We start from the raw sequence: 24,665 nt of genomic DNA, 5'->3' as shown, positions 1-24,665 counted from the left end.
CAAAGTATAGAGTAATGCAGTGGTTTTGCACACTAGGATCTGGTCACCATTTGTTGCTATGGGGAAAGGGTCAATCTCTTTTTTTTTTTTTTTTTTTTTTGTTTGAGATGGAGTCTTACTTTGTCACCCAGGGTGGAGTGCAGTGGCATGATCTTGGCTCACTGCAGCCTCTGCCTCCCTGGTTCCAGTGATTCTCCTGGCTCAGCCTCCTGAGTAGCTGGGTTTACGGGCGCGTGCCACCATGCTCAGGTAATTTTTGTATTTTTGGTAGTGGTGGGGTTTCACCATGTTGTCCAAGCTGGTCTCAAACTCCTGACCTTAGGTGATCCTCCTGCCTTGGCCTCCCAAAGTGTTGGAGTTACAGGCGTGAGCCACTACGCCTGGCCAGGGTCAGTCTTCTTGATGATAAATGTAAAACTATTTAAATAATTTGGATATTTAGTAGTCTAAGAAATTTAATGGGATGAATTTTCCCTAGATTGTTAATTATCTCTTTAGAAATACATACTGCATCTACTTTGTTCTGGCTTACTCTCTTAATAGCTATGAGACCTTGGGTATGTTACTACACTTTTCTGTGTTTCATTTTTGTAACCTTTAAAAGGGAAGTGTAGTAATAATAGTACATAATTCCTATGTAGTTGTGAGGATTGAATGAGATAATTCATAAAGAACTTACTACAGTGCTTGGCAAATATTAATTACTTAACAAATGGTAGCTGTTATTAATGTTATCTTTCTAGAGTAGAAGTATGGAATTTATTGTGACTTTCAGTATATGAAGAAGGAATAATGTTTTGTCTTTTAAAACACCTTTATTAGAGAAATTAAGCGCTGACTTTATTGGTTTCTGTATTTTGGGACCTATTTTCTGGTTGTAGCTTACTTGGTCTCTTCTTGCAACAGAGATCAAACTTTGGCTATTTGCCTGGATTTCTTGGTGAACCAGTGGAGGTATGGTATGACCTTTGACTCTCCATCATTCTTTTTTTTTTTTGGTAGAGATGAAGTCTCGTTATGTTGCCCAGGCTGGTCTTGAACTGTTGGCCTCAAGCAATCCTCTGCTGCCTTGGTTTCCCAGAGTGCTCGGACTCTATCATCTTTTTAAACTTTGTGGTTTTTGGTTGAAACAGATTGGATTGTTCTGGAGAGTTCACTGAGGTTGATAGTTTTTTCTCAATTAAAAATGTCAGTGGACTGGGCATGGTGGCTCACGCGTGTAATCCCAGCACTTTGGGAGGCTGAGGCGGGCGGATCACGAGGTCAGGAGATCAAGACCATCCTGGCTAACACGGTGAAACCCTGTCTCTACTAAAAATACAAAAACAAAATTAGCCGGGCATGGTGGCGGGCGCCTGTAGTCCCGGCTATTCCGGAGGCTGAGGTGGGAGAATGGCGTGAACCCGGGAGGCGATGCTTGCAGTGAGCCGAGATTGCGCCACTGCACTCCAGCCTGGGTGACGGAGCAAGACTCCGTCTCAAAAAAAAAAAAAAAAAAAAAAGTCAGTGGGCCAGCCATGGTGGCTCACACCTGTGATCCCAGCACTTCTGGAAGCCAAGGCAGGAGGATCACTTGAGACTAGGAGTTTGAGACCAGCCTGGGCAACATCTCTACAAAAAAATAAAAATAAATTAGCTGGGAGTGATGGCACATGCCTGTGGTCCCAGCTACTCGGGAGGCTGAGGTGGGAGGATCGCTTGGGCCCAGGAGGTCGAGGCTGCAGGGAGCACTGATCATGCCATTGCACTCCAACCTGGGTGACAGAGTGAGACAATGTCTCAAAAAAAAAAAAGTCAGTGAATGTAAAAAACACCCCTTTCTAAATTTTTTCTGACTAGATCAATCATCATTGAGGAGGTACAGTATTTCTCCATAATCCCCTGCCCCAGAAGCAAAGGAGTGTTTTTAAAAATATATTTCTGTGTTTACTTACATTTTGATCAGGCTGTATAATTATGAAGGGAAAAACCAACACCCTTTAAAATGAGCATGCCTGAAAGCCTGCCCTTCAACCAAGTGTCATTGTAGGGACACTGTCTCCTAGATAGGAGTTAGTGTTAAACTCTTGACTTAAAACCTTTGAGATGAGGTCCAGGTTTCCCAATATGGTATCTGAGGTAGTTCAAGATCCTCTCCCCAACTTCTTCACCATTGTCATTTATTGTCTCTCCTCCTGGCTTGTGCGTTTTACCTCCAGTACTCCTGAAGTTTGCATTGTACTATGTCTGCAGTTCTTCAGATGTGCAGTGCCTCTTTTCTCACTGTCTTTGCACGTGCTGTTCTCTTGGCCTAGATATCTCTTTGTTACTCTTAATTGGTCTACTCTGACTTAGCCTTTAAGACTCAGCCTAGGAGATAACCTTTTCCAGAAGGTTTTCCGTGATTTCCTAGGTTGGGATTGGGTACCCCATCTCTGGGTTACTCTGATTGTGGTTATCCATTTATTATTTGTTGGTCTCTTCCACTTGCAGTGGACAGGAGTTGTATCTGATCATCCTTTTATTCTCAGAGCCCATCTTGGGACCTTGTACAGAATAAGCATCAGTAAAGACATGTCAGGTGAATCCATCATTTCAAACTGGCCTATTAACAGCTGTAATTTCCCAATGAGTCAGTTACTCCATGTTGCTCTGGGCTGAGTTTTTTTTGTTTGTTTGTTTTTGTTTTTGAGACAGAGTCTTGCTCTGTCACCCAGGCTGGAGTGCAGTGGCGTGATCTCGGCTCACTGCATCCTCTGCCTCCTGGGTTCAAGTAATTCTCCTGCCTCAGCCTCCCGAGTAGCTGGGATTACAGGTATGCACCACCATGCCCAACTAATTTTTGTATTTTTAGTAAAGACGGGGTTTCACTCTTTTAGCCAGGATGGTCTTGATCTCCTGACCTCGTGATCCGCCTGCCTTGGCCTCCCAAGGTGCTGGGACTATAGGCATGAGCCATTGCACCTGGCCTGGGCTGAGTTTTAATAGAGTGTCTTCTATCATTGTTGTTGCCCCTTGCTCCCTGCCCGTTGTGTTGTCTCTACTCTACTTTAGCCCACTCTCATGTAGCTTTCCTTTACTCTTTGCCCATAGCTGGGTCAGTGGAGCTGTGTACACAGTAGACACAATGAGACTCAGAAAGAACTTGATTTATGACGGATCCCTGGAATCTCACTTGGAATGAATGCAGATCACATTGGTAAATGGAGAAGACGGGACCTTATGATTGCTTTTCTGACTCAGTCTAGAGTTCTTTTTTCTGCTTCAAAGTTTCCTCTTTATTAACCTTTGGTCAGTTTTAATTTGTAGATAATATAAAATGAATGCTATAAAACCAAATTGTATCAAATGCTTGTGTATTTGATTTTTACAACTGAAATATAAGACTTGACTTAACTATTTGATGGTAGAAAGATTGAGACTTTAAGAAATGTGGGTTTTTAATTACCCTATTAAGCCATTAGTAGTTTCTGGCAGGCAATTTTTTTTTTCCCCAGGCTGGAGTGCAATGGCACCATCTCGACTCACTGCAAGCTCCGCCTCCTGGGTTCATGCCAATCTCCTGCCTCAGCCTCCCGAGTAGCTGGGACTACAGGTGTGTGCCTCCACGCCTGGCTAATTTTTTTTGTATTTTTAGTAGAGATGGGGTTTCACTGTGTTAGCCGGGATGGTATCGATCTCCTGACCTCGTGATCCACCCACCTTGGCCTCCCAAAGTGCTGGGATTACAGGCATGAGTCACGGTGCCCGGCCTCTGGCAGGCAATTTTAATTAGGATTCCCCAAAATATTTTGCTGATTAGAGTCTTTGTAGCAAGCAAAAATAATCACTTATGCATCTATGCATTATTTTAGTCAACATGGATATCAGCCTCTATGTTAGGTTGGTTTTGATGATACACGGAGATGAGTAAGGTGTAGTTGCTGTCTTCAAGGAGCTCCAGATGCAATAGAGACAAGGTATAAACAAATAAGTTGGCTGGGTGCGGTGGCTCATGCCTGTAATCCCAGCACTTTGGGAGGCCGAGGTGGGCGGATCACAAGGTCAGGAGTTTGAGACCATCCTGGCCAACGTGGTGAAACCTCGTCTCTACTAAAAATACAAAAATTAGCTGGGCATGGTGGCGCATGCCTGTAGTCCCAGCTACTCAGGAGGCTGAGGCAGGATAATCGCTTGAACCCGGGAGGCAGAGTTTGCAGCGAGGCGAGATTGCGCCACTGCACTCCAGCCTGGGCAATAGAGGGAGACTCCATCTCAAAAAAAAAACAAAAACCAAGTTACAGTTCAATGTTATAGATGTTATAAAATAAGTAGCAGAGACAGGGTATTCAAACCTTTTTTTAGGGAAGAGTTCTTGGAGGAAGAGTAACCTGAGCTTATTTTTGAAAGAAGACTAGGTCTTATGTGTGGACAATTCTGGACATGGAGTCAGAAGAACTGAATTTGAACCCCAGCTTAGCCACTTACTAGCTGTCTGACTTGGACAGGTTGTTTAAGTACTCTGTGAATCTCAGTTTTTTCCCATGTAAAGTGGGGACAGTCATATCTATATCCACCTTTGAAATTCAATACATTTGAAAGAAGCTCATAAATGTGATATACAAGTATTCTGTTTTTTAGCTCATAAATGTGGTATACAAGTATTATATTCTGTTTTTTTCCAAGCCAAACTGTATCCAGCTTTATTAAAGATACTGTCCGTAAACAATCATGGCATTTCAGACAGGACATGTGCAGACAATCGTTAACAGTATACAACAACTTTCAAACTCCCTTCTTTAATGGCCTACCAAAAATCAGAAAGCCACTATAAAACCCAATGAAGTCTTCATCTGATGCTCTGAACAGGGAAAGTTTAGAGTGAGGGTTGACATTTCACATTTAGCATGTTGTTTAACAACTTTTCATAAGCTGACCCTGACTTTCAGGAAGTGAAGTGAAAGTGACAGAATTTACCTGAAGATCCACAATCTAGAAACGGAACCACTGCTCTTTTGACAGGTGCCATCTCAGTGGCATCACTGGAAAGTCCAGATTGCCTGACACACTGGTAACCAATGATTAGGGGTCAGGTCCCAACAGATGTCTGGGTTTAAGGGAGTTAAGTCTAGCTGAAAGGTAGAAAGGGAGAAGAGGACATAAAAACAAATTTGTTTTTCCATACCACAAAGCTTTTGTGCCAAGGTGGCCATGTGTGTCAAAGTCAGGGAATCCCTGCTCCTGGGAGCCAAGAGGAAGTCTCTCAAAACTGGAAGGGAAAGGTGTTTTCCCCACATCAATCCAGCTTTGGAGACATTTTATTAGTGACATAAGCCCCTTCCTCTCAAAACAACAAGGACATGTTCTGTGTGCTAACAACATAGCTTAAAAAAGTAAAACAAAATTCTGCATTTTTATAAAACTTGATTAAAAATAGTATTTCAAACTGTACAGTCACCAGAAGTACATGGTTATTAAAAATGCACACACTTCGCTTGGCATCTCCAGCACCTTCAGCTTTCTGTCCCTGGTCTGTTTTGGCATCTCCATTTTCTGTAGGGTTATCCCCATCCTGGCCAGCCTCAGCTTTTCCCTTTTTCCCTTTGGGTACCTTCTCTCCCTTCTTTGCAGGGGCTTTTTTGGCCTGGGCTCTATCTTTGGAGGAGCAGGTTTAGCAGACAACCTTGTGGATCTTCTCTGTGGTTCATCCTTCACCTTGGCTTTATCTCCTTTAGCATCCCCTTCAGCCTTTCTTGGGCATGGTGGCGGCGACAGTGACGGCAGCGGGACGTAGGCACTGGGCGTGGGATGCAGCGGAGCACAGGCTTTGGTTGGTCTGGGGGTCGTTCTCACCTCTTCTTCTGGTTTTTGTTTTTTACTTATTCATTGACAATTATATTTTGACAGATTGTAGCATCAGTTTTCTTACCCAAACCAGAAATAAGTGAGGAAAATATTGAGTATATTAGTGTGTAGACATCATTTATGAAGTGCTAACACTATAAACATGTATCAAGGCAAATATTTTAAAGTTCAGATCCATGAAACTTTGATTCTGTGCTATTGTACAAGATACTGCTTAAGGTACCTAAATGAATGGTATCTGAAAAATTATTGAGTTTGCTTCTGAGTGGCTTGGATAGCAACCAGCTGAACTAGAAAGAGCCTCATTTCTTGTCAGAAGACTTATGCTTGCATCCAAGTGATGCAACTTATGTCTGTGCTGCTGAAGGTTATTTAACATTTCAGAGTTTCATTTTCTCCATCAGTAAAGGAGAAAAATAATAGTTACTTTGTAGACTGTGAATTAGGAATAAACTGGATAAATTGCTTACCACTAGCTTTTATCAGTTAAAAGTTAATTTATGGAATATTAAACAAATTTCCATTTAATTACATTTCTTTAGAGAAACTTGCTCTAAATGGTGGGTGGGGGGAATTCTGTTATTTATGCTTTACTGACACTGATGATATTTTACCTCCTTCTTCCAGTTATTCCTCAATAATTTTGTAAGGTGAGTTTAAATCTCAGCTATTGTACTTCCTTGCAGTGTGACCTTCAAAGTTACTTAATCTTTCTATAACTTATTTTCTCCATCTATTAGGTGGAGAATTAATGGCATTTATATTATATAGTTACTTAATCTTTCTATAACTTATTTTCTCTATCCATTAGATGGAGACATAATGGTATTTACATTATATAATTGTTAGGAAGTAACTAAAGTGCTTAGTTCAGTGTTTGGCACATAGTATGATTTCAGAAAATGGTAGTGCTATGGACTGAGTGTATCCCACCAAAATTCATATGTTGAAACCCTAATCCTCAGTGTGATGTTTGGGGTGGGATTTTTGGGAAGTAATTAGGTCATTAGGATGGAGCTCTATAAGTGCCTGTATAAGAAGAGACACCAGAGAGCTTACTTCCTCTCTCTCTGCTTTCCACTATGTGAGGATACAGTGAGAAGAGGGCCATCTGCAAACCAGGAAGCTGACTGTCACCAGACACCAGATCTGCTAGTACCTTGATCTTGGACTTCCCAGCCTCCAGACCTGTGAAAAATAAATGTTTGTGGTATTCTGTTATGTACACAGCAGCCTGAGCTGACTAAGATGGATAGCATTGCTATTGTCACTTTCATTTTATAAATGAGAAGGTGAATACAGATTTAGAAACCTGATTAGATTCATAGTAAGAGGCAAGGATGGGATTCAATCCAGGTTTGTGTGATGCCAAAGACTTTACTGTTTATTCTTTTACCAGGCTACATTTTGTAATTAACATTTCATTTGTATGGAAACGTATTCTGAAATGCTGTAGAGTGCTTGGAAGTAATTTGTTATTCTTGGGTATTTAAAACTTTCAGTGATGTTTTACTAACCGTTTACATAAACTTGAAACTAAATTGGTTAGGGAAAGAAATCTTTGGCCTGGCCTCCCTGTGATCAGACAGTTTTAGGGCAGATATTCTGGGGTGGTAGTCAGTGGTTAGTAAAAAGAAAATTGTGTGTGTGTGTTTGTGTGTGAGTGTATTTTCTCCTAAACAGCTTCATTGAAGTAAAATTGGCATACAGTAAGTGATACAAATTTTATGTACAATTTGCTAAGTTTTGACATACATATACACCCATGAAACCATCACCACAAAGCAGATGGTGAACATATCCATCACCTCCCAAGTTTCTTGGTGCCCCTTTGAAGTCTTTCCCTCCTCATTCTCCTCATATCCCCCCCATTTAAGCAACCACCTATCGGCTTTTCTATCACTATAGATTAAACAATGGTCAGATCAATCAGGATTCAGTCAGTTCACCTCTCAGCTGTAGTTTGATCGTCTGTGAAACAGGGATTCTACCATCTTCCCAAAGGACCATTGGAGAAGATTAGGATTAATGTGTATAAAGAGCCTAGCATAATGTCTCTTGCATAGTAGGCCCTCAGTCCCTGGAAGCCAGTATTACCAGCAAGCTTTCACTTGGTGGTCTAGAGTACATTTAGGAGTTCAGAGTGCCAAAATGCATTTCTGTCACTTAGAGCTCCTGTTCTCTTCCACTGAATGGGCTTCCAGTGTTTTTGAAACAGGAAAATTTACATTTAGGCAGCTTAAGGCCCTAAGGGACGTTCTGTTGCTCCTACCTTCCCTCCCTCATGCCCAGTGTTACACATGCTATTAATTATGAACAGATGTTCTTCAAAAATAAGCAAAGATCTCCACAGCAGGTTTTTGCATTCTTTATGCCTATGTTTAAGTCTGGCATTGTGATCAAGCTGCATAAGCAATGAGTTTGTAGTCAGAGTTCTGGGTTTTAGTTCCTATTCTGCCTTGGGCAAATCATAAAATCTTTCTGAGCCTCAGTTTTCTCAGTGTGAAGTGGTGGTGGTGGAGTCATACCTCAGAAGTTTGTTGAGAGGATCAAAGGAGAATTCTGAAAGTGAATTGTATGATGAGGTTATAGTTCATCTGCATCCTCCCATGACTGCCTCACAGTGTCAGAACTTTGTAAAAGGATCAGGCAGCATTTAAATCTGATATCTTACAGGTTTTTAATATAAGTATTTTAAATTGGGCTCTGCTAATAGAATAAAGTGGCAAAAATAAATAACAACAGATAAATAATTTGTGAAATTATTTGCTCAAGGTTAAAAGTGCTTCCATTTTAAAGTCAGAGAAACTTTAATTCAGATATTAGTTAAGTAGCTGTGTGACCATGGACAAGTTATTTAATTTCTCTGAGCCTTAAATTCTCACCTGTTAATAAGGCATATCTGTTCTACCTCAGAGGGTTGTTGGGAGGATTAGAAATAATATGTGTACCATAGTTGGCATATAGCAGATGCCCAGTGACGCTAGCTTCATTCCTTCCATTTCCAAAATTGGTAGATTTGTGGATTCGTTGAACTATTCCTGAAGGGATGACTTTTGCCTTCTCTATTCCGTGATGCGGTTCAGCACAGGTTAGCTGTTAGGTAGTGTCTCAGGTTTCCCATTCAAGTCTGTAAATGTCATTTGAGCTTTATGGTGCTAGCAGTTATTGCAAAGGAATTTTTTTTTTTTTTTTAAATAATGGGAGGCACCTATGCTTTGCTTTTGTACTTTCTCATCAATTCTCATTGCTCTGTCTAGCTAGAGATACTTTGTATTGTGAGAGCCAGGGAAACCAGGGGCCATTTTCTTGTCTCTCTGTGTTTATTTGGGTTGGAGGATTGTCTAAAAGTTCCCTAGTGAATAAAGTAGATTTGCTGAGTTCAGATTCTTCCCTCCTGGGTGAGCCCAGGATCGAACTACTGGGCAAGAAAAGAAATAGGAAGATGTGGAGAAAACTGGTGAGTTCTGCTTGTAAAGTTGTCAGGATCTTTGAGTTGGGGGGCATGTAGAAAACAGTTGATTCCCCATTTCCGTCTTCATTTCCAGAGCCTGTACACTCCAACACAAAGGGAGCTTTAAGATGGAGGTCTGCATTGTAATTTCCTAGAAATTACTGCTTCTGGTAACCGCTCATTCAGTTTTCACCTCTTTGCTGCAGTAGATGAAACAATGGGGACAATAAAACCATTTATCTGATGGCTGTAGCCTCAATGGGATGTTTGTTTTAATAATGGTATAATTTGCAGGGTTCATAAATTGTGATTTTATTCTCATGGAAATAACTGCCCGGTGGTATTTGGATTCTCAGGTCTCCTGTTGTGAATAATTTCGCTAACATTCTGGCTGACAATTCCCTTTATTCTACACTTCGATTTAGATTGTTCATGCTGGTTGGGTAATTAGCCCAGAACAGAGCCAGTTTTTTTCAGTTTGGGGATGGCAGGTGGTTACTAGGTAACTAGAAGATCTTCTGAATGGAGAAGAAACTCTGCTTAGGGATTCAAGGCAAATACCCAGGTTTGTTTTGATTATCTGGGATTTAAAAAATTATCTAATACCAAAATATTTGATGAAAATTGAAATTTAATTCATCTGAATATTTGTTTTCCATGACACCAAACAACCCATTATATTTGGAATATCCTATGTTTGAGTTTTAAATTTTCATGTGCATGTTTTGGCAGGGAATATCCACAGAGGGCAGAGGCTGATAATAGCTACACATGCTAGACATTGCCATAGGTGTTTTACTTACATTATGTCTAATTTTTTTTTTTTTGACATAGTTTGACTCTTGTTGCTCAGGCTGGAGTGCAGTGGCACGATCTCGGTTCACTGCAACCTCCACCTCCCAGGTTCAAGTGATTGTCCTGCCTCAGCCTCCCGAGTAGCTGGGAGTATAGGTTCCTGCCACTACACCCAGCTAATTTTTATGTTTTAGTAGAGACAGGGTTTCACCACGTTGACCAGGCTGGTCTCAAACTCCTGACCTCAGGTGATCCACTTGCCTCAGCCTCCCAAAGTGCTGGGATTACAGGTGTGAGCCACCACACCCGGCCATTTCTAAATCTTAATGAGAACTCTGATAGGTAGGTATTGTTTCCATGTTACCCATGTAAAAAGTTAAGACACGTTTAGTAACTAAATTAAGGGATTCAGCTAATTAGTGGCAGACAGTTTACCAGATTCAAAGCTTATCCTAGGCTTTCAATTACAGGGTAAGACATTCTGAAGATACATTCAAGTTGAAATTAAACTGTTAGATATTACAGCAGTTGGCTCAAAAATAATATTATATGTGAATTAATACCTATCATCAGATGTATATATCTGATTGTTCTTCCTGTCATTTAATCTTGTTTTACAGCAGTAACATACATGGAATATTTTGATTATCTCACCAAAATTAAAGGACTTCTAGGCATAATCCTGTTTTAAGAATTCTTTAAAAGGCTCCAAAGCATGGCGTAGTCACTGGAAATAGCCTCAGACTTGGGTTTCAAAATCTTGGCACTGCCATTTATTGGGTTATCTTGGATAAACCTTTTGACCATCATTGGATAACCCTTACTCTTGTATGAGCCTTATTTTGCTCATCTGCAAAATAGGGATATGATACACACTTTACAGGGATGTTAGGGTTAATGTATGTGGTGGGGTCTAGTATATGACTGTAATATGTTGGTTTCCTTTATTGAGTAATGCTACTGCTAGTAGAGTATCAGGGGATAATTTGGTGCTTTCATCATTGGCCTCAGGATTTATTAAAAGATGGCCAACATCGGATGGGCACGGTGGCTCACACCTGTAATCCCAGCACTTTGGGAGGCTGAGATGAGCGGGTCACTGGAGGTCAGGAGTTTGAGACTAGCCTGGCCAAAATGGTGAAACCTTTTCTCTACTAAAAAAAAAAAAAAAAAAAAAAAAATGCCAGGTGTAGTGGCACATCCCAGCTACTTGGGAGGCTGAGGCAGGAGAATCACTTGAACCTGGAAGGCAGAGGTTGCAGTGAGCCAAGATCATGTCATCGCACTCCAGCTTGGGCGACAAGAGGGAAACTCCATCTCAGAAAAAAAGATGGCCAACTTCAAGTGCCATTATGTTATATTTTCATGTGATGCTGTTAAACTAATAGAGCTGATTTTTCTCCAGGAACTTGCTGTTCCATCTAGGTAATTTGTTTAAGGGGCAGTTAGATAGATGATGTATTTTTTTATACTCTCTTGGTCAAGAGAGTGAGTGCATATGTGGAAAGGGCATTGGATTTGTGATTATACAAACTTGGTGGGAGGTCCAGCATTGCTGTTTACTAGCTAAGTTTCATGGGACAACTGACTTTCTCTGTTTGAAACTTGGGATAGAGATAATAATAGCCAACTTTCCCATCTGTTGTGAAGATCAAATGAGATAATGAATGTGAAAATGCCTTTTAAATTGGAAAAATGCCAGCCAAGATAGTAACTATTATGTGACATTCATAATTAGTATTAAGTGGGGCTTAGAGAATTAATTACTTTTTTTTTTGAGACAGGGTCTTGCTCTGTCACCCAGGCTGGAGTACAGTGGTGGGCTCATGGCTCACTGTTGCCTCCACCTCCTGGGCTTAGTGATCCCCCTGCCTCGCCTCCTGAGTAGCTGGGACCACAGGTGTGCAACGCCATGCCCTGCCCCCACCCCTGCCCCTTGGTATTTTGAGACGAATCTTGCTCTGTCACCCAGGCTGGAGTGCAGAGTCCCGCTCATAGCTTACTGCAGCGTGGAACTCCTGGACATAGTGATCCTCTCACCTCAGTATCCTGAGTAGCTGGGATTATAGGCATGTACCACCATGCCTGGCTCATTCTTGAATTTTTTGTAGAGACAGGGTCTCTATGTTGCCCAGACTGGTTTCGAACTCCTGTCCTCCAGCCAACCTCCTGTCTTCCAGCCAACCTCCTGTCTTGGCCTCCCAAAGTGCTGGGATTACGGGCATGAGCCACTGTGCCCCGTCGGAATTCACTGCTATTTTAAGAGGCAAATTTAAAATTTCCCTTGAACTATATAAAGACATTTTGATGAGTTTTATTATGGTAGTCCTTGGGGACAGCAGAAGAAAAGAGGCCAGAATGATGTTCTGGGTAGATAAAGTATTGAGTGAATGTAACTGCATAGTGGAAATGAGAAAATGGGGTGTGGTACTACTGTGAGGCAGGCCCAGAGGACTTAGAGAAGAGCTTAGACTTGAGATTTGGATCTTGGTCTAATCTTGATCCCTAGAACAAGGAAGTGGGAGGCTCCTTGATTAGAAAAACTTAGGACACAGGGTAGTGTGTGGAGAACTGTTGAGGAATAGGGATAGAGGTAACAACTGTAGCTTCCGTCATGATGACACTCAAGTTGAAATCCTGGTTTTAAGCCTTCTAGGAGTATGTACAGAAGTTAAAATAGATTTTTTTTCATTCCTCTTTCTACCTTCTAACAGTTAAGTGTGTCCATTTTTAGGGGAAAGTTCCAAGTGCGTCTTGCGATTATTGTGCATGAATCCAGTGGTGTCTCTCAGGTGAGCACATTGATGTATCTTCATTTAAAGAGGTGCAGATGGTGGCTGGCAAATGGGGGATCTGCTTCCACCGGCTAGAATGCTTAATTTTATGGAGGCTTATTCAGATTATCTCTTACCTGAAAATTGATTCTGTTTACAGCATTTCAGTAATGTGGATGAAATTTTTCCTAAGTGGAACATCAACCTAAATTTTCAGTGTGTTTAATTAATTATTTATTTATTTATTTATTTTATTGATCATTCTTGGGTGTTTCTCACAGAGGGGGATTTGGCAGGGTCATAGGACAATAGTGGAAGGAAGGTCAGCAGATAAACAAGTGAACAAAGGTCTCTGGTTTTCCTAGGCAGAGGACCCTGTGGCCTTCCGCAGTGTTTGTGTCCCTGGGTACTTGAGATTAGGGAGTGGTGATGACTCTTAACGAGCATGCTGCCTTCAAGCATCTGTTTAACAAAGCACATCTTGCACCGCCCTTAATCCATTTAACCCTGAGTGGACACAGCACATGTTTCAGAGAGCACAGGGTTGGGGGTAAGGTCATAGATCAACAGGATCCCAAGGCAGAAGAATTTTTCTTAGTACAGAACAAAATGAAAAGTCTCCCATGTCTACTTCTTTCTACACAGACACAGCAACCATCCGATTTCTCAATCTTTTCCCCACCTTTCCCCCTTTTCTATTCCACAAAACCGCCATTGTCATCATGGCCCGTTCTCAATGAGCTGTTGGGTACACCTCCCAGACGGGGTGGTAGCTGGGCAGAGGGGCTCCTCACTTCCCAGTAGGGGCGGCCAGGCAGAGGCGCCCCTCACCTCCTGGACGGGGCGGCTGGCCGGGCGGGGGCTGACCCCCCACCTCCCTCCCGGACGGGGCGGCTGGCCGGGCGGGGGCTGACCCCTGACCTCCCTCCCGGACGGGGCGGCTGGCCGGGCAGGGGCTGACCCCCACCTCCCTCCCGGACGGGGTGGCTGCCGGGCGGAAACGCTCCTCACTTCCCAGACGGGGTGGCTGCCGGGCGGAGGGGCTCCTCACTTCCCAGACGGGGTGGCTGCCGGGCGGAGGGGCTCCTCACTTCTCAGATGGGGCGGCTGCCAGGCGGAGGGTCTCCTCACTTCTCAGACGGGGCGGCTGGGCAGAGACGCTCCTCACCTCCCAGACGGGGTCGTGGCTGGGCAGAGGCGCTCCTCACATCCCAGACGGGGCGGTGGGGCGGTGGGGCAGGGGCGCTCCCCACATCTCAGACGATGGGTGGCCAGGCAGAGACGCTCCTCACTTCCTAGATGGGATGGCGGCCGGGAAGAGGCACTCCTCACTTCCTAGGTGGATGGCGGCCGGGCAGAGATGCTCCTCACTTTCCAGACTGGGCAGCCAGGCAGAGGGGCTCCTCACATCCCAGACGATGGGCGGCCAGGCAGAGACGCTCCTCACTTCCCAGACGGAGTGGTGGTGGGCAGAGGCTGCAATCTCTGCACTTTGGGAGGCCAAGGCAGGCGGCTGGGAGGTGGAGGTTGTAGCGAGCCGAGATCACACCACTGCACTCCAGCCTGGGCACCATTGAGCACTGAGTGAACGAGACTCCGTCTGCAATCCCGGCACCTCAGGAGGCCGAGGCTGGCGGATCACTCGCGGTTAGGAGCTGGAGACCAGCCCGGCCAACACAGCGAAACCCCGTCTCCACCAAAAAAATACGAAAACCAGTCAGGCATGGCGGCGCGCGCCTGCAATCGCAGGCACTCGGCAGGCTGAGGCAGGGGAATCAGGCAGGGAGGTTGCAGTGAGCTGAGATGGCAGCAGTACAGTCCAGCTTCGGCTCGGCATCAGAGGGAGACCGTGGAAAGAGAGGGAGAGGGAGACTGTGGGGAGGGGGGGGGGAGGGGGAGGGGGAGAGGGAGAGTTTAATTATTGATGTATCTGAATGCTGCAGTGTATTAGTTAAGCATTTTTCCATATGAGAGGCTTCTGGCTGTGAGTTTTGGTACTACACTAATTTTATTCATTTTTTTCCAGGGGGATGTCAGTTTTTCTTCATTGCAAGTAACTGCATTATGTTGTCTGGATCATTGTCTTCTGTATTAAGTATTACAGTAGAATAGTTGTTGTTCAGGACAGTTTCAAAGTCTGTGTTTTATTTGCCTATAAGAACATACTTAGGCATCTTTCTTCTCTGTTCTTGGTCTGCTAGTATGAACATAATACAGTGACTAAGTAAGGAGATGGGTTTCCATAGGCCCCAGTCAGAATCAGCCTGAGTTACTTTATCATATTAACTTTATATATAATAATGTCAACTGATATTTGCATAATTCTTTGTAAGGTATTTTTATGATACTTAAATATTTTTTTTCTTTTCTTGTCTTGTCTTTTTTTTTTTTTGAGACAGTATCTCACTCTGTCACCCAGGCTGGAGTACAGTGACGTGATCATGATTCATTGCAGCCTCAGCTTCCCAGGCTCCAGTGATCTCTACACTTGAGCCTCCTGAGTAGCTGGGACAATAGGTGCATGCCATCATGCCCAGCTAATTTTTTGTAGAGGTGGGGTTTCACCATGTTGCCCAGGCTTGTCTCACACTCCTGAGCTCAAGTGATCCATCAGCCTTGGCCTCCTTAAGTGTTGGGATTACAGGTGTGAGTCACTGTGTCCAGTCTAAAATTTTTCTTTTTACTAATATGTTTCTTGTACTAAACTGGTAGCTCTTTTTGTGGAGGACCATTTTTTTTCATCTTTGTACTCACTTTATTTAGGACTGAGCTAAGAATAATCATAATGATACTAGCTAACACTGTGTTTTATGCCGGGTTTGTGCCAAGTGCAGTATTTGTTTTAATCCTCATTATCCCCGTTTTATAGAGGAGAGAACTGAGTCTCAGAGAAAGGAAGTAGCTTGCTTAGTCTCACAGCTAATGAAGGGATGCAGCTGTGATTAGAACCCAAGCAATCTGATTTCAGAGCTATGTACTTAACCCTTATATTTTCTCAGAAACAGCTTGTATGAATATGTAGGTATACATGAAAGATATTATCTCTCTTATTTGAGTCTTAAAACTCTGTGAAGCAGTTAATTATGCTTTTCATATCCATTCTATAGGTTAGGAAAAGTAAGATGAGTTAATTACACAAGATCATTCATTTGTTGAGTAACAGAATCTGGACCCCACCATCCCAGGTCTCCTGACTCCAAATCTCATATTTTTTTCCCCTGCTGTAATACTTTTAGCTGTTGATTAGAGCTTCACATCTATTTTGTTTATTTATTTATTTATTTATTTATTTATTTATTTTTGAGGTGGAGTCTCACTCTATTGCCCAGGCTGGAGTGCAGTGGTATGATCCCAGCTCACTGCAACCTCCGATCCCCCCGGGTTCAAGTGATTCTTCTGCCTCAGCCTCCTGAGTAGCTGAGACCACAGGTGCGCATCACCACGCCCGGCTAATTTTTGTATTTTTAGTAGAGACAGGGTTTCACCATATTGGCCAGGCTGGTCTCGAACTCCTGACCTCGTGATCTGCCCGCCTCGGCTTCCCAAAGTGCTGGGATTACAGGCATGAGCCACCATGCCCAGCCAACATCTGTTTTCTTAGGAATACACAATAGTCTTTTTCGTATGTAAAATAGATACTTTCATTTATACTAACTGAAGGTAAGAGGTAACCCTAAAAATCTTTCTGTGCGTCTTTCTTTCTCAAATCCAACGAGCAAAATTCCATGGTAGACAGACTGTTGAGAGCTACTTGAAGGTGGATAAGACCGCTGTGTGTGTGTGTTCCTGTGTATCTCTGTTTTAGTAGCTGGCAACAGTGTGTTTTCCATAATGATTGCTGAGGGAATGCATGACTGAAAAAGTTGATGCTGTGTCTAGTATTAAAGAGTGGCGATACTAAAATTGCTAGTTTATTTTTATATCCTATGCTTTCTCCTGATTGCTTCGTTCTTAGTCACTAATTGATTATGTTTGAGAATTACAACAGTGCTAATATAGTGGCATTAAATATAGTTGAGCCAGTATATGGTAACTGTCTATAACAGAGCCTTCATATAAGAGAGGGATTACACTTAAGCATTTTGTAACACCGAAGAAACAATTTTTTTGATGTCTAGGTGAACTTAATTGTATTGAATTCTTTTTGATTGCCTTGTCAGATTTCTTTTGTATTTTATATAAATAAGATATGACAGTGGCAAATTAGTTTTTCAGTTTTGTTTTTGTTTTTGTTTTTTTGTTTTTTTGAGACAGGGTTTCGCTTGTGCAGTGGCTGGATTTTGGTGCACTGCAACCTCCGCCTCCTGGGTTCAAGCAATTCTCATGCCTCAGCCTCCTGAGTAGCTGGAATTACAGGTGCCCACCACCATACCCAGCTAATTTTTGTATTTTTAGTAGATACGGGGTTTCACTCAGTTGGCCAGGCTGGGCTCAAACTCCTGACCTTGTGATCTGCCCGCCTTGGCCTCCCAAGGTGCTGGGATTACAAGTGTGAGCCATTACCCCCGACCAAGGGTCTAGTTCTTAATAGCCTTCTTCCTGACCCTTGAGAAGAAGCCATTATACTTCATTTAGCTTCTAGGTTATATCACATTCAAATACAGTCATGTCATAGCATAGCTACTTGGTTTTCCATGTGCCCTGCCCTGCATTATTTTTGTGTATTATTATAGTGCAAAATATTTAAGAATTCCTAAGCTTCTTTTCTTATTTTAGTCTGAGATTGTTATATTCAGGTAAATTAACCCCTCACCTAAGAGTGTCATAATTGATTCCGTTGTTCCAGATTGTAGATTTGAGTATCAGGTAGTAATTTACATATTACAGGATCTTTTAAGAATTAATTGTTTTAATGTGGAAGCCATATGAGATAAGAAATTGGAATTTTCAGCCTTGATTAGTTGGCTACAGTCCTGGGCCTGCTTTGTTGCTTGGCACACATCAATCCAACTCTTATTCTCATTTTATGTCTGTTAGTTGTGCATGTGCATATATACTCATGGATGTTCCTCTCTCCAATCTAAAAGGTACCGCCAACGTCTAGTAGATTTCTAGGGCCCTAAAATTTGTCTTGCTCAGTTTCCTTACAGATTTTACAAGCTTGAAAGGTGAGTAGTTAGAGTACAGGGTAGCTGCTGAAAGAGACCCAAACATTCAGTGGCTCAAACAAGATGGACATTTATCTCTTATAAAACAGTTCAGGGGTAAGTCTCTTATGACCACAGTGGGCAGAGGTTCTGCTCCATGAAATCATCTAGAGATCCAGGCTCCTTCTATCTTGTTGTCCGGGGGTGATGCCCTCATCTGCATTCTCAATGATAGCTTATTAACACATCTACCTTGAAATAAGTCCATGAGAAGGGAGAAGAGAGAGTAGAGGACACATAGTTGCCTTAAAAAAAAAGTGAGCTATATGTCAATTTTCCCAGCATCTCATTCATTATCTTTAGAAACAAGACATATCAAGTTATAAATAACATTTGGAAATGTAGTTTCCAACTCGGTTGCATGTGCTCAGTTATTTTGGCAGAGGGTTGTGGTAGGGGAGTGTCTGTATTAAAAGGAAGCAAGGGAAAATGGATACTATTAGCAGTTTCTTCCACAGAGTCATAGGTAGAGGGTAAAAATAATAAAACCTTTTCCTCATTTATTATCTTAATTCTCACCACATTGAGAATTTCTTTGAGGTAAGTGGTATAACCATTTTGCTAACTGGGGAACTGATTATGAGGTATCAAGTGACTGGTTTAAAGTCACAAGTCTGGCTCAAAACCGAACTCGTTATCCTTTTCCCTCCATACCTTCTTCTCTTTGTATTTCTTATCTCAGTGAATGACATCACCATTTTCTCAGTCACTCAAGCCGGAAATTTGAGATTTCCTTATCTTCTCATATTCCTTCAGTCACTAAGTTGTATAGATACTATCACCTTAACATTTCTCGAATCTATTCCTTTCTCTCCATCCCCACAGCTGTTGCCTTAGCTCAGACTCTCAGCAGCTCTTGTGTGGACGGCAGCCTCCATTCTTCCATCTGCTGCCAGGGTCACCTCCTGTGACTCCTTCTTCTCAGCCCAACCCTGCCAAACCACTTGCAATCCTTGGGACTTAACTATACGCTGTTAAACTGCCAAATCTCTACTCGTGTTGCTTCTTCTACTCAAATGGTCCTCTTCCCTTCTCAACTTGGCAAACATGGCCTTATTTTATTTTTAAAAATCTACCACCTACATTGCTTCCACTGTAAAGTTGTTGCTCTCTTTTCCAGGTAGAATTGACTGTTTTCTCCTCATGCTTCTCCTGTGTTGATGCCTGTTATAGGACCTGTAACATTTTATAGTAATAATTTGTAATATGTCTTGCTTTTTATCATTAGCATTCAATATTGTACCTGATAGAAAACAGCTACTCTGTAATTGCTTGAATGAGTAGAGTGTATGACAGACTGGGACTTGAATCCAAATCTTGTGTTTTTCTTATCATGATGGCTCATCCTGTGTAAGTGTGTACATATTTCCTGAGTTGCTTCCCAACACCAAATTTGGAGGTCTGACTTTCCAGGAGCTCTTTTCATTGGCAATCAAGTGTAGCCCTAAAAAGGGCTATTTCAACAAATGGATGCTTAATTGTCTTTCCATGTGGATTTTGGGGGTGTGCTTTTTTGGTAGGTGCTGCTAAAACCATTGTCTGTAACTTGCAAAATAAGTAAATGCTGGATGTTTGGCTTTAATTTTTATTGATTACATCAAGGGATAAAAGAAGTTTGCTTTACATTTGGAGGGAAGGCAGGCAAATTAGAAAAAAATGCATCCCCTTGAAGAGGGTTTTATTTTTAATATTATTTACAAAGTATATATGTGAAAATAGAAAAGGAATAACTTTAATTTACAATAGACACAATTTAGGGAAAAATGCTAACATCCCAGTGTAAGTGTAAATTCAGCTTGGCTATTACCATTTCTGATCACTGAAGCTCACTTATTGTGCATTTAAACCATCTGTTCTGGTGTTAATCCCTTAAAACTCAATTGGTAGATGTTAACATGATAAAAGGTAATAAAGCTTGAAATATGGCAGTCATTTGGTCTGGTTTACTTTTCAACTAATTGCATGCAAACTTAAGTGTCTTTGGGAAAAAGGAAAGGGGGGAATTAATGCTGTAGTCAACTATTTTGATCTCAGCTTGAGCCCTGCACACCTGCCACTGGCTTGTGGAAGTTTTCCTCCATAATTAAGAGCTCCTCTCTCATGTTATTACTTAATTGGATGCCGCAAGAGCCTGGTGAAACAGTGGAATCCTCTTAATTGCAGCTTTTAAAACAAATCACCAATGTTTAATATGGTATTGTTTTTAAAAGCCTTCCCTGGAAAGATTTTTTATTGTTTCAAGTCCAAATGGAATGGAGTGTTGAGGATTCTGCTCTTTATGAAGTTAGAAGTCATATAGTACTTTGAAATGTCTCTCCTTAAAGAGTTAGGGAACATAACTAATATTTACTGATGCTTTACAATTTGACCAAGTGCTTTCCTTTTATCTTGTTTTAATTCCTATAGTAGCTCCAAGAAAGGTATTATAATGTTTCCCATTTTACAGATGAGGAAATTGAGGGTCAGAAAAGTGACTTGCTCAGGGTCACACAATTAGTAAGTGGTAGAGATAGATGCAAACCCTACCTACCGATGCAAACCCTTTATTTACCTCCTGTCTCAATGAGCATAAACTGCATGTGTGGAAATATCAGTATAGTGGGTTTTTCCTTTAACTTATAATGTGGTCTCAATTTAGCTTACTGTGTTTGGTACTTTTCTGTTTGAACTGTCAGCCGTTACGCATATAGTGGAAAGAGCAGCCTGGTAGTAGGTGAGGAAGCCAAAATGCTGGGAAATGACAGAATATCCCATTCCATGCTTAGATCATGACTGTTATCTAACTGAAACATCCTCCTGTAAGGTTGTCAGGGTCTTTGTGGTCCTGCTGCAGTGTGGACAAGTCCTTTACAGTGTACTTAAGTGCTGAGCAATTTTGACAGCTGGTTTAAATGAGCTTCTGTGGCAGTCACTTCCCTTGAGGCCTCAGTGCCCATTTTCCTCTCCACCCTAGTAGTGGAAAGAGCTCTTGATAGGGAATCAGGAAACTTTGATGCTATAGTTGTAGTTAGGTGATTTGCTAACTGACCCTTTTTCTTCAGGACTAAGTTTGGTCAGTACCACCTCTTTGAAGACTTCCCTAAAGTCTTAGGGTGGCCTTCCTTTTTTTTTTTCCTGGACACTCTGACACGTTGTTTTAAGTATTGGCTGTATGGCACTTACCACATTGTTCTGCAATTATGTTTCTTTTAGACTAGAGCTATACCTCTAGCCTTCTTTTTTTTTTTTTTTTTTTTGTGACGGAGTCTCACTGTGTCGCCCAGGCTGGAGTGCAGTTGCGCGATCTCAGCTCACTGCAAGCTCTGCCTCCTGGGTTCATTCCATTCTCCTGCCTCAGCCTCCTGAGTAGCTGGGACTACGGGCGCCCGACACCATGCCCAGCTAATTTTTTTTTTTGTATTTTTAGTAGAGACGGGGTTTCACTGTGTTAGCCAGGATGGTCTTGATCTCTTGACCTTGTGATCTGCCCACCTTGGCCTCCCAAAGTGCTGGGATTATAGGCGTGAGCCACTGCGCCTGGCCACCTCTAGCCTTCTTTTTACTACCAGCCCATCTGCACTTGAGAATCACTGCCCCAAACTGTATATTCTGTGAGAGCACAGTCACAGGGTTCCTTGAGGTGGACATTTGTAGTTTGCTTCTGTAGCTTCCTTCTTATCTCAGCAATGGCCTCAGATGTTGGTTTTAGGAACCACACCTCCCCCCTGCTTTGCTTCATATAGTTTGGGTAGGAATTTCTTAGCTCTAGTGTTATGTGAACCAGGCTCAAGGTAACCAAGGCATCACATTCTTCCGGCCATAGTGATTGGTTTAGGGGTAAATGTGTTTTAAGCTGGTCTAAACTGAATGTTCAGGACTTTTGTAAGCCGCTATAGAAGACCTTCTCCAAGTCCTGCTACACTACAGAGGTGTGTGGCTGGAGCTGCTATAGCCATTTTGCCACCTTAGGAGGAGAGAGTCTGGCTTATGATAGAACCAACATTGAGGAAGTGAAGCTAAACAGGTGGAGGCAGTGACTTTGAGCTCTGAATTGAGCCTCCACCATAGTCTACCCTAATCTTGGGCCTCAGTTAATTAAGTCAGTAATTAGGCTTTTTGCTTAAACCAGTTTGTTTTCTGTCATTTACAACCAAGAGTCCTAACTAATCTATTTCTCTTCTGCACTTAAGCATAGTTCATAGCCTAGTATTTGTTAATTGGGTAAATGATTGAACTCTATGACTTAGTCTTTCTTAGTCTCAGTTTCTTTTTCTGTAAAATGGGAATGATAATTTCTGCCTGCCTGGCTCAAAGGGTTGTTGTGAGTTAATAGAAGGAAAAGCTTTTGGGTCTCCCCTTCTGAACTTAGTCTATACCAAACAATTGACCATTTAATTATACAATTACATATAACCATTGTATAATTTTTTTTTTCTTTCAACTTGATTGTGTACCCCCTTAGAATGGATGGCATCTTACATACTTACTGTTTTCCTCCTACTGCTCAGCACAGTGTTGGGAAAATAGTGGGCACTCGTGAATATTTATTAGTGATGACAATAGCAGCTACAGTTTATTGCATACGTTTATTGGGCCAGATAGTGTGTAGGCATTCTACATAAATTATCTCTAAACCTCAGCTAATAGCAGTATTAGATAGCTATTATTAGATAAGCAGTATTGTCCTCAGAGGATAGTTGCTTAGCTAACAAACGGGAGAGCTGAAATTGTTGGTTGAGTTATGATGGAAAATAAATGTGATGGAGCCTTCCAAAGCATATACCAGGAATGTTTGAGATGTCTGCCTTAGGTGAATGATAGAGGTGAACATCAAGTAAATACCTGATGGGGATGAAATCCTGGCCTGGTTTGGAATTGCTTGAAAAGCTATTTTTCGAGTCTTTTCTTGGAGTAGTTTAATTGACTTCACTAATCCATTGCATCACTATTAAATAATAATAAAAGATACAGAGAGTAGTAGCATTAGAAATACTGGTCACGAGGATACTATATATTATGGTGATGTCCCATTGAATATTACAGTGAATGTCCCCTCTCTGGGGCCCGTGTGAATTGATGCCTTACTAAATATGCTCAGCTGGTACTCAGGGTACGTTTTGCTCAGGTTCAGGCAGAACCACCCTGTTAGTAGGTAACCTTTTATTCTTTTTTTTGAGACAGAGTCTTACTCTGTTGCCTAGGCTGAAATGCAGTGGTGCGATCTTGGCTCACTGCAAACTCCACCTCCTGGGTTCAAGCAATCCTCCTGTCTCAGCATCCAAGTAGCTGGGATTACAGGCGCCCACCATCATGTCCGGCTAATTTTTGTATTTTTAGTAGAGACAGGGTTTCACCGTGTTGGCCAGGTTGATCTTGATCTCCTCACCTCAGGTGATCTGCCTGCCTCAGCCTCCCAAAGTTCTGAGATTACCAGCATGAGCGATCGTGCCAGGCCAACCTTCTATTCTTTATTGAATGTTAAACTCAGACTCTAGATTAAGCAAGAAATCAAATGAAAAAGTCTAACTAGCATTATACGCTTCATTCTGTGATGGAAAACACTTTCTCCTTGAAGCAAGAGATCTAGGTTGTAGACCAAGGTCTGAGTCAAATGATACTGTTTATAAGGACCTGCTAGATAATTTGCATATATTATATAATCCCCAAAAGAACCTTTCAGCGTAAGTGTTACTATCCTCATTTATGATGAGGGTCAGAGAGATGAAGAGAGGTCATACAGCTGTAAATATTCCCCTGTAGGCTGGGTGCGGTGGCTCACGCCTGTAATTCCAGCACTTTGGGAGGCCAGGGCAGGCGGATCACGAAGTCAGGAGTTTGAGACCAGCCTGACCAACATGGTGAAACCCTATCTCTACTATAAATACAAACATTAGCTGGACGTGGTGGCGTGCGCCTGTAATCCCAGCTACTCAGGAGGCTGAGGCAGGAGAATTGCTTGAACCTGGGAGGTGGAGGTTGCAGTGAGCTGAGATTGCACCATTGCACTCCAGCCTGGGCTACAGAGTGAGACTCAGTCTTTGGAAAAAAAAAAAGAAAATCCTCCTGTAATGTTTTAAACCACAGTCCTAAGATTGCAGAATTGAAATTCAAGATCAAGAATCGTATGGGATAAAAGGGTATTAAAATTATCTAAAAATTTATTTTTATTGTCCAAAGTGACTAAAGTGTCACTTTTACCCCTTAGTTGATACAGATATAAAAGTAAAAGTTATTTCAGTAAAAGAAGGGAGGCCTCATAAAGATCTTGGTTTGTGAATTAAAAAACAAAAAAGTGAATGACTCTACTTATATGATCAGATGCTTAAAAAAAGAGTGAATGGCTATGCCATTTCTAGTTCTCTATGGAATAATTTTAATGTACTTATTAGGGACAGAGTAGCATTTACCACGTTTGTGTGGTCTTTGTATTTATTCCACAAGGGATTGAGAGTAGTTTACAAAAGTAATCTAATAAAATAACCTAAAAAAGAAAAACCCTGAGTACTATTGAAAATAGAATAATATATATATATATATGTCTCCCCAGTTGCTATAGGTGAACTACAAATTTACCCCTGAATTTCTTGGAAGCCTAGGAGAGAAGGATAACTTTTTTTATTTTGAGATGGAGTTTCACTTTTGTTGCCCAGGCTGGAGTGCAATGGTGCGTGATCTCGGCTCACTGCAACCTCC

The 24,665-nt window shown here is 41.9% G+C and overlaps 1 protein-coding gene and 1 pseudogene across 4 annotated transcripts in view, besides 1 other annotated feature; one reads left to right on the top strand and one right to left on the bottom strand.

Moving 5' to 3' along the window:
* The window catches only part of FAM168A (family with sequence similarity 168 member A), a 197,626-nt gene that overhangs the window by 12,141 nt on the left and 160,820 nt on the right, over positions 1-24,665 (top strand). Inside the window, exon 1 of one of the 4 annotated variants that reach the window (XM_047426650.1) lies at positions 4,209-12,864. The exons of the other annotated variants lie outside the window; for them this stretch is intronic. The gene's annotated coding sequence lies outside the window, so the exon portion shown is untranslated. Of the gene's footprint in view, positions 1-4,208; positions 12,865-24,665 lie in introns of those variants that run through there. 4 annotated transcript variants of the gene reach the window in all.
* HMGN2P38 (high mobility group nucleosomal binding domain 2 pseudogene 38) lies at positions 5,220-5,820 on the bottom strand (annotated as a pseudogene).
* Positions 19,214-19,508: a silencer, noted in NCBI's record as "tiled region #14801; HepG2 Repressive non-DNase unmatched - State 23:Low". NCBI's record gives its function as "represses a minimal TATA promoter and a strong SV40 promoter by Sharpr-MPRA in HepG2 cells {active_cell/tissue: HepG2}" and the evidence as "EXISTENCE:reporter gene assay evidence [ECO:0000049][PMID:27701403]".

This window comes from Homo sapiens, chromosome 11 (genome assembly GCF_000001405.40).
Source record: "Homo sapiens chromosome 11, GRCh38.p14 Primary Assembly".
Lineage (NCBI taxonomy): Eukaryota > Metazoa > Chordata > Mammalia > Primates > Hominidae > Homo > Homo sapiens.
Note: the sequence above shows the minus strand (reverse complement) of the source record. Positions and strands in the feature narration are given on the sequence as shown.